At 48.6% G+C, this 16,291-nt stretch overlaps 1 protein-coding gene across 5 annotated transcripts in view, besides 3 other annotated features; it reads left to right on the top strand.

The window, feature by feature from the left end:
* Window positions 1-16,291, top strand: part of CACNA1A (calcium voltage-gated channel subunit alpha1 A) — a 300,038-nt gene that overhangs the window by 234,069 nt on the left and 49,678 nt on the right. For all 5 annotated transcript variants that reach the window (NM_001127222.2, NM_001127221.2, NM_001174080.2 and 2 more), the window contains exons 25-28: window positions 9,578-9,677; window positions 10,801-10,961; window positions 12,710-12,847; window positions 14,860-15,061. In NM_001127222.2, coding sequence (NP_001120694.1) covers window positions 9,578-9,677; window positions 10,801-10,961; window positions 12,710-12,847; window positions 14,860-15,061 — 601 coding nt within the window. The remainder of the gene's footprint in view (window positions 1-9,577; window positions 9,678-10,800; window positions 10,962-12,709; window positions 12,848-14,859; window positions 15,062-16,291) is intronic.
* Window positions 4,002-4,296: an enhancer, noted in NCBI's record as "tiled region #13658; K562 Activating DNase matched - State 20:ReprD". NCBI's record gives its function as "activates a minimal TATA promoter and a strong SV40 promoter by Sharpr-MPRA in K562 cells {active_cell/tissue: K562}" and the evidence as "EXISTENCE:reporter gene assay evidence [ECO:0000049][PMID:27701403]".
* Window positions 10,474-11,673: an enhancer, noted in NCBI's record as "MED14-independent group 3 enhancer chr19:13371552-13372751 (GRCh37/hg19 assembly coordinates)". NCBI's record gives its function as "activates an origin of replication core promoter dependent on BRD2, BRD4, P300/CBP and CDK7 cofactors, and independent of MED14, by STARR-seq in HCT116 cells {active_cell/tissue: HCT116}" and the evidence as "EXISTENCE:reporter gene assay evidence [ECO:0000049][PMID:35650434]".
* Window positions 11,036-11,265: an enhancer, noted in NCBI's record as "active region_14128". NCBI's record gives its function as "activates an Ori minimal core promoter by ATAC-STARR-seq in GM12878 lymphoblastoid cells {active_cell/tissue: GM12878}" and the evidence as "EXISTENCE:reporter gene assay evidence [ECO:0000049][PMID:35858748]".

Genomic DNA, 16,291 nt, shown 5'->3' with positions numbered 1-16,291 from the left:
ATGCTCAGGCAGGGACCCCCGCCCCTTTCCTCTGGGGCAAGGTCTGCTCAGCAGCCTCCAAGATTCCTAGGGCTCAAGAGGTGGCAGGTAGCTCAGGGCACTAGGGCAGGCAGTGGGGTGAATATGTCACTCATATCCACCTGTCCACACACAATGCTTACCTTGGCCACCTGTGCCCAGGGGAATGGGTTTTATCCTGTGAATCCTCCCAGTGACCACCACTGAGTGTGGCACAGATAAATGGTACCAAGCCCAAGCTGTTCAGGTCTCCAATGTCACTTTCCTCTCAGACCTCTGTTGTAGCTGACATACTGTAATGCTGAGGAGGGCCGGGCACAGTGGCTCATGCCTGTAATCCTAGCTCTTTCGGAGGCCAAGGCAGATGGATCACCTGGGGTCAGGAGTTCAAGACCAGCCTGGGCAACATGGTGAAACCCCAGGCAACATGGTAAAACCCTGTCTCTACTAAAAATACAAATATTAGCCAAGCGTGATAGCAGGCGCCTGTAATCTCAGCTACTCGGGAGGCTGAGGCAGAAGAATTGCTTGAACCTGGGAAGTGGAGGTTGCAGTGAGCCAAGATTGCACCACTGCACTCCAGCCTGGGCAACAGAGCAAGACTCTGTCTCAAAAAAAAAAAAAAATGCTGAGGAGGTGACTGTCCCACCTCCATCCTCCGAGTTGACCATCACAATTTAGGGAGGGGAATGACCTACAAAGGACCCAGAAGCAAGCCTTTCAATTGTTGAGCTTTTGCCATTATGGGCCATCGTTTACAACATGCTGTTTCTAGGTTCTCTGGAGGTAAAATTAGCCTCCTCTTTTAAACAAAGCTAATCTGCAAAAGCGAACCAAAAATTCTTTTCCACCAGAGATCAATTAGCAGAATGAGCTGGGTGCGATGGCTCACACCTGTAATCCCAGCACTTGGGGAGGCCGAGGCAGGTGGATCACTTGAGGTCAGGGGTCCAAGACCAGCATGGCCAACATGGTGAAACCCCATCTCTACTAAAAATACAAAAACTAGCTGGGTGTGGTGGGGAGGGCCTGTAGTCCCAGCTACTCGGGAGGGTGAGGCAGGAGAATTGCTTGAACCCAGGAGGTGAAGGTTGCAGTGAGCCAAGATTGTGCCACTGCACTCCAGCCTGGGTGACGGAGCAAGACTCCATCTCAAAAAAAAAAAAAAAAAAAAAAAACAGCAGAATGATTCTTTTGGGGAGTTGACTTTTTTTTTAATTTCTGAGTTTTCTTTTTAAATATCAAGTTATACAAGGGCATTCAAATTGGCCTACAACTCACAGGAATTTGGCAGCCTGTTTGCAGAGTCAAGCTTTTACATTGTTCTCATGAAATTGGTACAGGCATAAAGCCACCCTTCACTCTTGAAAATCCATTTTGAATGTTGTTGTTTTAATTCTTATGCAAGAAAAGGATCTGGATAGGGATTTCAGGCCATCCTGTCAACCCTGGCAGGCTTGTAGATCATGCAGGAACTGGGAGGTGTGAGATTTTGCCAGTAGGATCCTGGCAAGTGCCTGGGACTCTCCCAGGGTTTTGGAAGAGCCGACGGACATGAGTCCAACAGGGAGCATCTTTATATCATGGCCGAAGGGATGAGAGAGGAGACCCTCAAACCTCACGCCTACCACACCCTCCCCACCCCACTGTCAAGAGTCCATCTGGTACTGCTGTTCCTCCCCCAGGGCAGGGCTGCAGGCCCAGCACAGCTGGCCAGGTGCCTTGATCAAGCCATTCCTGCACACCTAAGAGCCAAACTGCTAGAAAACCAGAATAGGAGCTACTGCTTTTTTCCCTAAAAAGTTTTGGAATCTTCTCCCCGTTACAGGTTTCTGGCCTCTTTTGCCTGAGAAGGTCTCTCACCCTATGAGGACTTTGCTTATTGTCTTTCCTTGTTATCGGATAGTTGGCACATTGGAAGGAGCATGGATGCTCTGAGGTTCTCAGCCTGAGCGCTGAACTCTCCACCCGCCCCCCACCCCCCACCCCAGGGTCCTCTGCTTATTTCCTTTCTGGTCTTTTAACTTGCTTTGTCTGTCCTCTGTGCATATCCCCTCATAGACAAGGCTGAGAGCCCCACAAGTATTAGATTGACCTTATTGTTTTAAGAAATTGTCCCTCCAGGTCTGTTTGATTTCTCTCTAGATGTGCAAGTCCTTTAGCCTCTCTGTGCCTCAGTTTTTCCCATCTAGATGAGGAAACTGCGGCCCAGAGGGACTGTGGAGGGAAGTAAGTCCGACAAGATCACTGAGGTTGGGTTCAGCTGTCAGATGCTACCCATCTCCCAGCCCTGAATACGGAGGCTCACAGTGAGCAGAATGATGCTCAGCAGCCTGGCCAGCCTGGGTTCTTTGAGGCCTGGCAGGGCTGCGAGATCCAGGGGAAGGGAATAGGGGAAGGGAGCATAAGGTTATTCCCTTCCTTGTTGAAAGGAACCTTGCCATTCTGGCCTGTTGGGGTCAAAGCAAGGATTCTTCCCCCAGTGCTGTGATTGTGGCCTCGTCTCCGATATGGGAGAAAACTATCCCTGTGGTCCCACCAAGGGATGTATTGAAGCTCTTCTGAAGATGTCCACCCCTCCTGCACCTCACCCAAATATCTGTGTGTGTGTGTCCTGCTCAATTCACTGACTGTGTCCCTTGTATCCATGCGTCTACCATAAACACCCCATTTCATGAGCCATCACACGTGGTATCACGCTCTGTGCCCATGCATCAGGGCGGCCAACTGACATTTCTCAGCAGCTGGCAGATCATGATCCTGCCCTCACCGCCAAGAGTCCATCTGGCGCGGCTGTTCTTCCCCCAAAGGCAGGACCGCAACTGGCAGAGCGCCTTGATCAAGCTGCTCCTGCATACCCAGGAGCCAAACTGTCAGGAAGCCAAAGATGGAGCCCTCAGGCTGCTATCTCTTGATCCTCATCTTCAAAACAGCCCCCACCCCTGAAGGCATTATTTTTCTTGTGTATGATGAAATGGAAAGAAGATTAGAGTGCGAGATACCCACACCTGGGTTTGAATCTTAGTCTGTCTTCCCAGCTGTGTGCCTGCCCTTGGGCAGGTCACTCTTTTTCTCTAGGCCTCAGCTTCCTCATCTGGAAAATGGTCATAATGGTGCTGTCTTCCCATAGGCAAATGCAGTGATGTCCAGAAGACTCCCATATTAAACCTAAAGTCAGCAGATTAGGCAAAAATCACTGTCATTGAAAACTCCCTCAATCATCCGTAAAGAAGCTGGGTGTGGTGTCTCTCACCTGTAGTCCCAGCTACTTGGGAGGCTGAGGTGGGAGAATCACTTGAGCCAGGGAGTTCAAGGCTGCGGTAAGCTATGATTGTGCTACTGCACTCCAGCCTGGGCGACAGAGCAAGACCACGTCTCTAAAAATATAAAATAAAGCCGGGTGCGGTGGCTTACGCCTGTAATCCCAGCACTTTGGAAGGCTGAGGCAGCCTGGCAACAGAGTGAGAATCCATCAAAAAAAAAAAAAAAAAAAAAAAAAGTAGAATCTATATGATTCTACGTATGCAATAATTCCTAGATACACTGAATTTGAGAACCCCAAGTCAGACTACAGGAAAAGGAGATGAGGGGGTGTGGAGGAGAATCCACTTGGAATATTTGTAGACATTTAAACCATTCTGTGTTTTAAAAAATATCACAGCCGGGCGCGGTGGCTCACACCTGTAATCCTAGCACTTTGGGAGGCCAAGGTGGGCGGATCACGAGGTCAAGAGATGGAGACCATCCTGGCTAACACGGTGAAACCCCATCTCTACTAAAAATACAAAAAAAATTAGCTGGGCGTGGTGGTGGGCGCCTGTAGTCCCAGCACTCGGGAGGCTGAGGAAGGAGAATGGCGTGAACCTGGGAGGCGGAGCTTGCAGTGAGCCGAGATCTTGCCACTGCACTCCAGCCTGGGCGACAGAGCGAGACTCCGTTTCAAAAAAAAAAAAAAAAATCACTAACTTCCAGAGGGGTCGTGGATGGAAAATTCCATAGAGTCCGCTTGGCGACAGGGTTTCCGCCATTCTGATGGCGGTCAAGTCTTTCTAACCTGGATCTCCAGTCATTGTTGAAGGCGCCTAATGAGCCCCAAGCCTGATTCCAATGAATCACGAGAGGACCAGCTGCTAGGTGCTGATAGCTTTCCCCAGGCCCGCATTTGCTCAGAGGGCTTCAGAGTTGCTTCTAATTCCATCCCAAGTCAGAACTCTTTGCTGACCCCCTCCTTCATAAAGAGCAAAGCCAAGGCCATAGCTTTTGTTAATCAAACATCAGAATTCCACAGACCTGAGTTGGTTGGTTGTTTGTTTTAAGAGACAGAGTCTTGCCCAGGATGCAGTGGCTCACACTTGTAATCCCAGCGCTCTGGGAGGCCTAGGCAGGAGGATCACTTGAGCCCAGGAGTTTGAGACCAGCCTGAGCAACATAATGAGACCCCCGTCTCTACAAAAAATGGAAAAATTTGCCTGTATTTCCAGCTACTTGGGAGGCTAAGGTGGGAGAATCACCTGAGCCCTGGAGGTTGAGGCTACAGTGAGCCAAGATCCCGCTACTGCACTGCAGCCTGGGCAACAGAGGGAGACCCTGCCTCAAAAAAAAAGGAGAGAAGGAGAGAGACAGGGTCTCCCTATGTTGTCCAGGCTGGTCTCGAACTTCTGGCCTCAAGCAATCTTCCCAACTCGTCCTCCCAAGGTGCTGGGATTATAGCTGTGAGCCACGGCACCCAGTCTGGGCCTGTTTTGCAGATGAGGATAACGAGAGGCAGAGTCAGGATTCAAACCCAGGTCCCCTCAACTTCAAAGCTCACAACCTTTTAGACATTCTAAAACCTTGCAGCTCCACAACGCCTGGAGAAGAGGGGTTTCTCCGGCTCTTGGCAGTGACTTTCCGTGGTGAATTCACCTTTGGTAACTGACAGCTTTGCAGCTGTCCTGCTACCTGGAAATTTGGCTTTCTTAGTGCTTTCTTGGGCAGTGCCAGGTGCCTGCCAAGGGCGGGGGACTGAATGGAGGTGGGGGCGGCTTCCAGATGGAAGGATGGACATCGGCCAGCGCCATGAGCCTGAGGCTCCCCCAACTGCTGCCCGGGCGGGACTCGGGGGTGCTCAGGGGTGCGTGTGTGTACGTGCGTGTTCTGTGTTCTTTTTTCTGAGGCCACTTACGATCTGTCTCTCCCTCCGATGCCACATCACCAGGAGCAGTACACGGTAAAGTCTCTCTCTATCTTTCTCTCTCTCTCTCTTTCTCTCTCTCTCTCTCTCATATTCTGTCTCTCGTGATCTGTCCCCTGGTGCAGCCTCGTTAGTTCTGGGCCTGTTTCTGTGGCCTTGTGTCCTTGCTGCCGCTGTCCTGTCGCTTCAAATGACCAGAACTCACTCCCTGCGAAGGAGGCATCCCAAAGGGTCTTGCCAATGCCTCCGCCCATGCCCCACCAGTTCTTGCAGAGAACAGAAGGGGCAGAGGTTCAGTTTCAATAGGCAAGCTGGGTGGAGCAGTTATCAGAAGCAATGAAAGTGGGCCAGACACGGTGGCTCACGCCTCTAATCCCAGCATTTTGGGAGGCCGAGGCGGGTAGATCACTTGAGGTCAGGAGTTTCAGACCAGCCTGGTCAACATGGTGAAACCCCATCTCTACTAAAAATGCAAAAAATTATCTGGGCTTGGTGGTGCACACCTGTAATCCCAGCTACATAGGAAGCTGAGGCAGGAGAATCACTTAAACCTGGGAGGTGGAGGTTGCAGTGAGCTGAGATTGCACCACTGCACTCCACCCTGGGTGACAGAGTGAGACTCTGTCTCAAAAAAATATATAAAATAAATTGAACAATAAAAAAATAAAATGGCCATGGAATCGTTTTCAGATGAGGAGATGCAGAATGCCCATGGAGACATGCTCCCAATTGTCACTTGTTTGGGACATCAAGATTTTAGCCAGTTCCATGTGCAACCTGGATGTACAGTTCCTTGACTTTTTTTCTATCAACATGTATTCTAAAGTTCAATTTCAAAAGGAAACTTTAGCCAGGTGCAGTGGTGCATGCCTGCAGTCCCAGCCATTTGGGAGGCTGAGACTGAAGGATCACTTGAGCCCAGGAGTTGGAGGCTGCGGTGAGCTATGATCGTGCCACTGCACTCCCCCCTGAGATTCCATCTCTTTAATTTAAATAAAAAAAAAGGAAACTATATTATCCACTTACAACCAGCATTGCTAACCTAAGATAAATCTGCAACTGCAAAAGTAAATGTAGGCCAGACATGGTGGCTCACACCTATAATCCCAGCACTTTGGGAGGCCGAGGCAGGTGGATCACTTGAGGTCGGGAGTTCGAGACCAGCCTGACCAACATGGAGAAACCCCGTCTCTACTAAAAATACAAAATTAGCCGGACGTGATGGCACATGCCTGTAATCCCAGCTACTCGGGAGGCTGAGGCAAAAGAATTTCTTGAACCCGGGAGGCAGAGACTGCTGTGAGCTGAGATCACGCCATTCACTCCAGCCTGGGTAACAAGAGAGAAATGCCATCTCAAAAAAAAAAAAAAAAAGTAAATCTAACAGAAACCAGACAATGTTGTTGCCTTCAAGCTGGGCTCTTTGTTAAAAGGAAAATTACTAAGTGTTAGGGAGGTGTTAAAGGCCTATTAGCATCTACCTGAGGCTTCCTTTCTCGCAAAAGCAGAGCGTCTGAAAGATACGTGGAAAAGAAACTTAAAGTATAATAAAAAAGAAAGAAAGAAAAAGAAATGATTATGCCCCTCTGAGATCCAATTATTTAATCTGTGCCCCTGTTCTGCCTAAAATTATCTCAGTGACTGTCCAACGTGTGTCTCACACTTGGGGGCACAGCCTTGAGATGATAATGATGATGTTAGTTTTAAAAAGAAAAAAAAAGGTTCAGAGTTCTGAATCCTGGAGTATATCTCTGCCTAGCAGGCTAAAATACAATTATCGTCTTTGTTCCCTGAAAAATGAAAAAAATGGAGTCCTTTAAAAAGCAAATGGTGTGAAGAATGATGTTTTTGCACTGGATACTGAGACCCATCGTGATGGGGGTCTCTGGGGCAGCTCTGCTCATGACCTGGGAGGTCACTGTAGGGAGATGTTTTCTAGGTGACCTCCCCACCCAAATACTCCAACCGGAGGCATTCACGTGTCCTGAGACCACACGCCAGGCGCAGGCTAGGGGCTAGGACAAGAATCAAGATTAAAGGGGAAATGGCCAGGTGCGGTGGCTCATGCCTGTAATCCCAGCACTTTGGGAGTCAAGGCCAGTGGATTACTTGAGGTCGGGAGTTCGAGACCAGCCTGGCCAACACGGTGAAACCCTGTCTCTACTGAAAATACAAAAATTAGCCAGGTGTGGTGACTCATGCCTGTAGTCCCAGCTATTCGGGAGGCTGAGGTGGGAGAATCACTTGAACCCAGGAGGCAGAGGTTGCAGTAAGCCAAGATCATGCCACTGCACTCCAGCCTGGGCAATAGAGCAAGACTCCATCTCAAAAAAAAAAAAAAAGATTAAAGGGAAAATGAACACAGAGAAGAGTAGATTACACTGTAAGCCTTTGAAGAGTTTTCTGTCTAAAACCAGAGACCGAAGAAACAAACAAAGATTAACTCCGAAATAGCACATAGGAGCTGGCAGGAGCCAGAGGTAGGCAGTCAGGAAATGCTGTCGGAGGGAGCAACAGGTAATTTGGGCTTTGAGGACCGGGTAGTTCTGTGACTGGAGAAGTGGAGGAAGGGCATTTCTAGCAGCGGGAACAGTATATGCATAAGCAGACAGAGGCAAAAGAATGTGGCTGGGGCTTGAGATATGTAGCCATAAATGGGAATGCAAAGGTGAAGGTAAGTTGGACTAGATTTTCAAGAGCATTGAATGCCATGCCCAGAAGTTTGCACTTGCTCTTCTGAGAATTCACGTGCTCCAGAAGAATTCTGAGCAAGAGAAAGAGTGACAAGGTCATTGGCTTTAGCCACTGTGTGCATAAAACATGGAAGAAAAGGCAGGGAATGAGGAGCAAGTTGGGAGACGGGTGAGGGGGGATGGCACCCAGGAATGGATGGCGGGATGTTAAGGAAGGTGACCCACTGGGGATGGGGATGGGGATAGAGGGCAGGCAGTTGACCATGACTCTCAGGTTTCTGGTGTGGACAACTGGATGGGTCATGAGTGCCATGAACCACAAGCTATTCATGGTCCCACTCAATACCCTCCTCTTGGGGGGCCTGAGTCATGGTTGGCCAAGGGTGTCATGGCATCTCTGGGGTCTGCATTGCTAAGCTCAGTTCCAACAGACCTTGGACTGAACTTCTGTGCAGTCCTCTCTGGCAAAGATGGGCTCAGAGACCCTTGGAGCAATGCAGCAGAGACCATGGCAGCAGCCACATCAGCATCTGAAAACAGCGGCACCCGGTTATTTTCCCTCCTTCAGACTCAGGGAATATGGTGGGGGAGGGGAGATTTGGTATAAGGGCCACTTTAAGTATCTTCCAGAATCCCATTGGAAGGGGGAGAAAATCCCATTTTTTTAAGAGCCCACTGATACCACCTTTAAAAAGAATACACAGGGGGCCAGGCGCAGTGGCTCACACCTGTAATCCCAACACTTTGGGAGGCCAAGGTGGGTGGATCACCTGAGGTCAGGAGTTCAAGACCAGCCTGGCCAACATGGTGAAGCCCCATCTCTACTAAAAATACAAAAGTTAGCTGGGCATGGTGGCACGCACCTGTAGTCCCAGCTACTTGGAGAGGCTGAGGCAAGAGAATCACTTGAACCTGGGAGGTGGAGGTTGCAGTGAGCCAAGATCATACCATTGCACTCCAGCCTGGGCAACAAGAGTGAAACTCCATCTCAAAAAAAAAAAAGAATACATAGGGGACCACTAAACTCCTAGACCAAGGGCTTTTTTGAAAATAGCTGTGACCAGGTGTAGTGGCTCACACCTGTAATCCCAGCACTTTGAGAGGGTGAGGAGGGCAGATTGCTTGAGCTCAGGAGTTTGAAACCAGCCTGGGCAACATGGTGAAACCTCATCTCTACAAAAAGACAAAACAATTAGCCAGGCGCAGTGGCGTGTGCCTGTAGTCCCAGCTACTTGGGAGGCTGAGGTGGGAGGATGGCTTTAGCCCAGGAGGCGGAGGTTGCAGTGAGCCGAGATCGTGCCACTGCACTCCAGCCTTGGTGACAGAGCCAGACCCTGTCTCAAAAAAGAAAAAAGAAAAGCTGTGCAGAAATGGGGGTGGGGAATCAGCCAACCCCCTTGTGCTGGGTCTCAGGGACACCCAATACAGCTGCTCAGGCCCAGCCAGATGGCAAAGGGCCCTCAACCAACCCTGGGACCAGAACCACAAAAAGCCACGTACTTACTGGCTCCCGAGCCCAAGCTTAACAGGTGAAATGGACCACTCTTCACCAGGAAGGGCAGGGCTGTGCCAAGCTCACCCCAGACTTCTAGGCCTGGGAGGGTAGGGTCCCATGGAGCTGTGGGCTGCCCCCTACCCAACCTGACCTCTGCTTCCTCTCTTCCCTTCTTCCCACCTAAACATTCCTCCACAGTGGCAATAGCAAAGGAAAAGACATCAACACGATTAAATCCCTCCGAGTCCTCCGGGTGCTACGACCTCTTAAAACCATCAAGCGGCTGCCAAAGCTCAAGGTGAGATTGGGAGATGGTGGGGTGCGGTGGGGGGGACTGTCAGGGTTATCATGTACAGCTGAGCAGGTTGTACACTGCTCAAGGACAACACATTAAAGGAGGTGCTGATAACATCCTAGCCATCGTGTATGGATATTTGTATTATTACAACTTCCCAGCAGATGGCAGTAAAGTGAGCTGACCTAAAATAATCTGTGTATTATGGCAGTTTTTCTTTAGATGAAGTGTCTTGGGGTTAAGATCCTTTTTCCTAATTCGCATGAAGGCATCATATGGATTTAAAAGGGTATAACCGTGATCTGGGAAGCAGGAACTAGATTTCTTGTTCCATAAAATTTTGACTTTTCATCTACCTATTCTAGGCTCTAGTATCTCCCATTCCAAAATAGCATGAACCAGCATTTCCCAAAAGCCTGTCATTCAAAAACATATATATATATTAAGGGAAATAAAATCCAGTCATTAGAGCACCCACTTTCACTCTATGCTTCACCTGGGGGTCCCCAGTATTATCTCTTATGTAATATGTTTCTTTAAATCAAGTCACACCCGTAATCCCTGCATTTTGAAAGACCAAGGCAGGAGTGTTGCTTGAGCCCAGGAGAATGAGACCAGCCTGGGCAACATAGTTAGACTCTGTCTCTACTAAAAATTAAAGACAGAAAACAGATACTGTTATGGAAATCTAACCAAATATGGCTGCCTGCCTAAGGCTTTGTGCATTGACAACTGCTCTTTCTTGGTTAAAGAGGGAAAATGTCAATGGTAGGTGTTAACATGGTAGCAACTAAGTAAAAATTTCTCCTTCACTCAAAAGGATTGAGAGAGTTGGAAAGGAAGTAACTTTGTTACCTTGTTTTTCTGTGTTGGGCTCCTGTATCACTTAAAAGCATCTCTGGTATCCCATCTGGGAGTTTTAGATCCATAGAATGCCAGGATTGAGTCCAACTCCTCCAACGCTTATTTCTGAAAGCTGGGGGGACCTTACCCTAGTGACTTGACTTATGACCTTGCCTGTAAAATGGGAATGATCATGGCAGTATTTTGGTATGATGGGCCACTGGAGGCAGAAGGTTGGGCAGGTCCCCAGCCCCTCATGCTCTCTGTCAACTCCACCCCACAGGCTGTGTTTGACTGTGTGGTGAACTCACTTAAAAACGTCTTCAACATCCTCATCGTCTACATGCTATTCATGTTCATCTTCGCCGTGGTGGCTGTGCAGCTCTTCAAGGGGAAATTCTTCCACTGCACTGACGAGTCCAAAGAGTTTGAGAAAGATTGTCGGTGGGTCTCCACTTTCCAGCACATTCCCATTGGAACCAGCAGGTGGGCAGGGGGGAAGTGGCTAGAGGCATTGGCCACTTGGGCTCAGAGACTGGAGAAGTGATGAGCCTTGGAAGTGACTCAGTTGCAACCAGCTTGGATCTTGGGTAGAAAGAAAACCGGTTTTAGAATTTGAGTCACCACCCAGAGCCACAGAATGAGTCATAAGCAAATTGATTGACCTTTCAGCCACCGCCTTTGTCATGTGAGGGATATTAATACACATCCACAGTTCCTTACTTGAAATCGTTACAGGCAGATGTGTTTCAAAGTTGAGAATATTTTGAGATTCCCATGTGGGACATGACACCCTCAGCTGGGTCTAAGGCAGCCCTATAATCAAACACAATATTTCTGCCATAAAATGTGTAACTATTTACATCAAATGGGGTAAATAACAAGTATAAAGAGCTTCATGTCCAATCAGATCAGGTTTCATTACCAAATAAGTTAGGTAAGAGGCCAGGTGCAGTGGCTCACACCTGTAATTCCAACACTTTGGGAGGCTGAGGTGGGAGGATCACTTGAGGCCAGGAGTTGGAGACCAGGTTGGGCAACATAATGAGAGCCCATCCTACAAAATAAATTTTAAAAGTTAGCGGGGCATGGTAGCACACACCTGTAGTCCCAGCTACCCGGGAGGCTGAGGCGGGAGGATTGTTTAAACACAGGAGTTCAAGGCTGCAATGCACTATGATGGTACCACTGCACTCCAGCCTGCGTGACAGAGTGAGACCCTGCCTCTCAAAAATATATACATATAGGCCGGGCGCAGTGGCTCATGCTTATAATCTCAGCACTTTAGGAGGCCGAGGCGGGCGGATCATGAGGTCAGGAGATCGAGACCATCCTGGCTAACACGGTGAAACCCTGTCTCTACTAAAAATACAAAAACCTAGCTGGGCATGGTGGCAGACGCCTGTAGTCCCAGCTACTTGGGAGGCTGAGACAGGAGAATGGCGTGAACCCGGGAGGCGGAGCTTGCAGTGAGCCCAGATTGGGCCACTGTACTCCAGTCTGGGCAACAGAGCCAGACTCCATCTCAAACAAACAAACAAACAAACAACAACAACAAAAATATATATATATATATATGTATATATATATATGTACACGCACACACACATATGTATTATATGTGTGTGTGTATATATATGTATGTGTATATATAGTGATATTGTTACCAGTGTAAAGTGGCATTTTGCAACACATGGTAGCCTGTTGTTATCTTGATGGCTATTTATTGAAATTAGGAGGATGCCAGATGTCTGGATAGGAGTCTGGAACTAACCCTTGTTTCCTGCCTTGAAAAGGAGTAGCAACCTCCCTTAGCCTGATGAACCTCTAAATGTCCCCTATGTCTCTCTGCCTCCTCCTAAACTCCCTCCACCCCACCCCCAGCAAGCCTGAGGCTCTCACCCTGAGGACTAGAAGTTATCACGTTGGAAGAGGGTGCTGGACCCTGGGTCAGCTCTCCCACCAGGAGTAAGGTTGTGCCATCACCCATGGATTTATCTCAAAGTAGATGCACACGTCATCCCCTATGAAGCACAGGAACACATGGTGGCAGGATGGGGAGTCACTGCTTCCCAAGCAGTCTAGGCTGGTGGACCACTCTTCCTTTCCCTCCCCCTGTCTCTGATAACCAAAGACAAGTGCAAGACAGCCCCTCTTTCCCATTTACTAACAGTCCCCACTCTCTGTGGCAGAGGCAAATACCTCCTCTACGAGAAGAATGAGGTGAAGGCGCGAGACCGGGAGTGGAAGAAGTATGAATTCCATTACGACAATGTGCTGTGGGCTCTGCTGACCCTCTTCACCGTGTCCACGGGAGAAGGCTGGCCACAGTAAGTGGCCCGACTGGAAATCTATCCAGGAGGAGCCCTGGGGAGCAGGAGGATAAAGGGCCTGAGAGCTTAGCAATAAGAAAGGTCTTGGAGGCCGGGCATGGTGGCTCACGCCTGTAATCCCAACACTTTAGGAGGCCAAGGCAGATGTATCACTTGAGGCCAGGAGTTTGAGATCAGCCTGGCCATCATGGCAAAACTCCATTTCTACTAAAAATCCCAAAAAAAAAAAAAAAAAAAAAAAAAAAAAAGCTGCCAGGCATGGTGGCTCACACCTGTGGTCCCGGCTACTCAGGAGGCTGAGACACGAGAATCACTTGAACCCAGGAGGCAGAGGTTGCAGTGAGCCGAGATTGCACCACTGCACTTCATCCTGAGTGACAGAGCAAGACTATGGCCTCCCCGCCTTCAAAAAAAAAAAAAAGTGAGGCTGAATCATGGACTTAGTCTTTATTTAAAATTTTGAGCCACTTGTGGTGGCTCATACCTGTTATCCCAGCTACTCAGGAGGCTGAGGTGGGAGGATCGCTTGAGCCCAAGAGTTCAAGGCTGCAGTGAGCTGTGATTATGCCATTGTACTCCAGCCTAGACAACAGAAGGAGACCCCTATCCCTGAAAAAAAAAAAGAAGAAGAAATTGATATTTGTTCATCATGGACTTTTTGCATTAATTTTGATTTTTTAAAATATTGGAGCAAAAGATTATCTTGATTACTGAGATTTTCAGTACCCCCTTAATTTGCACCCAAAACAAATGCCTCCCTCCCTCACCTCGTCCAAGTAATGGTCTTTCTCTCAGAGGTCTTGGAAATGCCAGGCTGGAAGCTTGGTAGATTCCAGCATGTGCCCTCAGCATCCTCACCTCCCTCCCTCTCTCAGCAAATATGCCAACCTGAACATGCCCTACTACCCACTCTCAGACACATCCAGTACTCACACATGTGGGAATAATGCTAACCCACAAGGCACCTTTGAGCAAAGTTTTTTTAAACACCTTTCTCAACAGACTTCATTTCCATCTGTCTGAAAATCATCGCAATAGACTTAAATGATTTTGTTCAAACAAGGCACTGAAGGACCACCTGCCAAAAAATTGTCATCATGAATACACAAATCTATCATGCCTATCATGTGAAGGTATCGCTTAGACACAGAGCCTTTGAGCAGTGTGCAACCTGCACTACTGTACAGAGCTGCTGTGCACTTACCCACTCTCATATATATCCCCATTGTACCTCCTGAGCACCCAGCACCACCTGTGCTCAAATACCCACTCTACATGCATACACCCACCTCTACTCCCTCCATTGCCACAACCTGTCTTTAAATCCCAACTTGGCCACTTATAAGTGGGTGGTCTTCAGCACGTCCCTTTAAATTGCTGAACCTCAAGTTCCTCATGTGCAAAGTGGAGCCAGTAATAACCTCCCTGGGAGGGTTGCTGAGCCGGTGGGGATGAATTGTTGAATATTGTTTCCAGCACACAGCAAGCCCTTCATGCACAGCAGTAGAAATGACTGACATTGGCCAGGCGTGGTGGCTCACACCTGTAATCTCAACAGTTTGGGAGACCGAGGCAGGTGGATCACCTGAGGTCAGGAGTTCAAGACCAGCCTGGCCAACATGGTGAAACCCCGTCTCTACTAAAAATACAAAAAAATTAGCCAGGCTTGGTGGCGCATGTCTGTAATCCCAGCTACTTGGGAGGCTGAGGCAGGAGAATCATTTGAACCCGGGAGGCGGAGGTTGTAGTGACCCAAGATCACGCCGTTGCACTCCAGCCTGGGCAACGAGAGCGAAACTCCATCTCAAAAAATTAAAATTAAAATTAAGAAATAACTGACATTGTTGTCAGCCTTTCAAAAAACAGCGACTACTTAAATTTCTTTTTCATTTCCCTCTGTTCCTGTTCTGCCATCTCACTTCCACCCTCTCTCCACCTTCCTCATCACCCCTTGGGTCCCTGTCTCTCTCCTTCCTGCCCCTTCCCTCTCCCTGCCCCATTCCTTGCAGGGTCCTCAAGCATTCGGTGGACGCCACCTTTGAGAACCAGGGCCCCAGCCCCGGGTACCGCATGGAGATGTCCATTTTCTACGTCGTCTACTTTGTGGTGTTCCCCTTCTTCTTTGTCAATATCTTTGTGGCCTTGATCATCATCACCTTCCAGGAGCAAGGGGACAAGATGATGGAGGAATACAGCCTGGAGAAAAATGAGGTGCCACTTCCAATTCCATCTGTCCTTTAAAAACTGGGGACACACACAAACTTTAAAACACACACAACACCCAGGAACCCCTTTCTAGGGGTACCTGGGGGAGGGAACAGAAGCATTGTCCCAACCGAATCCAGTCTTCAGGGCAGCCCTTCATGGAGTTTCCAGAGGAAACACATCATATAGTGTATGTATCAGTCAGTTTAGACTAGGTTATGCCGCAGTAACAAGCAACCCCAGATTTCATTGCCAAATATCCACAAAGGGACTTATTTTTTGCTCACACTGCATGTCAACATCAGTTGTGGATCTTGCCATCTTTATTCTGGTTCCCAGGCTGGCAGAGCAGCAGAGCAGCCTCCCTCTGAGATGCTCCAGATGAAAAAGAGAGTATGTCAGACTGAGGTTCAGTTCTTCAGGCTTGTGCTCAAAAATTACACATGTCACTTCTGCTCACATTTCATCAGCCAAAGCAAGTCACACATCCATTCTGACATCAGTGGAGTGGGCAAATACAATCTCCCCTAGCGAAGGGTGGTGAATATTTATGAATGAAAAGCCAAGCCAGGTGTGGTGGCTCACACCTGTAATCCCAACATTTTGGGAAGCTGAGGCAGGAGGATCACTTGAGCTCAGGAGTTTGAGACCAGCCTGGCCAACATAGCAAGACCCCATCTCTACTACAAATCAAAAAAATTAGCCAGGCAGGATGGTGCACACCTTTAGCCCCAGTAACATGGGAGGCTGAGGTGGGAGGATGCTTGAGCTTGGGAGTTCGAGGCTGCAGTGAGCTATCATTATGCCACTGCACTACAGCCTGGGCAACAGAGCAAGACCCTCTCTCAAAAAAAGAAAAGGAAAGAAAATCCAGTCCCCTGTCTACCAGAGAGTATAGACATGACTCTTTGCCTCTCTGGCATCATCCAAGCTAAATAGAGGACCTAGAATATATCCTCTGCTCCCTTGACCCTTAAGACTTAATAACCACTATTCCTCCTTCTCTCTCCCTCAAAGAGAAGGAGAAGACGCAGCAAAGTATTCAGTAAGAAAGAATGGGCTGGGCGCAGTGGCTCACGCCTGTAATCTTAACACTTTAGGAGGCCAAGGCAGGAGGATTGCTTGAGCCCGGAAGTTCAAGACCAGCCTGAGCAACATAGTGAGACCCCATCTCTATGATTAAAAAAAAAAAGTTTTAATTAGCTGGGTGTGGTGGTGCACGCCTGTAGTCCCAGC

The sequence above is a fragment of the Homo sapiens genome, chromosome 19 (assembly GCF_000001405.40).
Source record: "Homo sapiens chromosome 19, GRCh38.p14 Primary Assembly".
NCBI lineage: Eukaryota > Metazoa > Chordata > Mammalia > Primates > Hominidae > Homo > Homo sapiens.
Note: the sequence above shows the minus strand (reverse complement) of the source record. Positions and strands in the feature narration are given on the sequence as shown.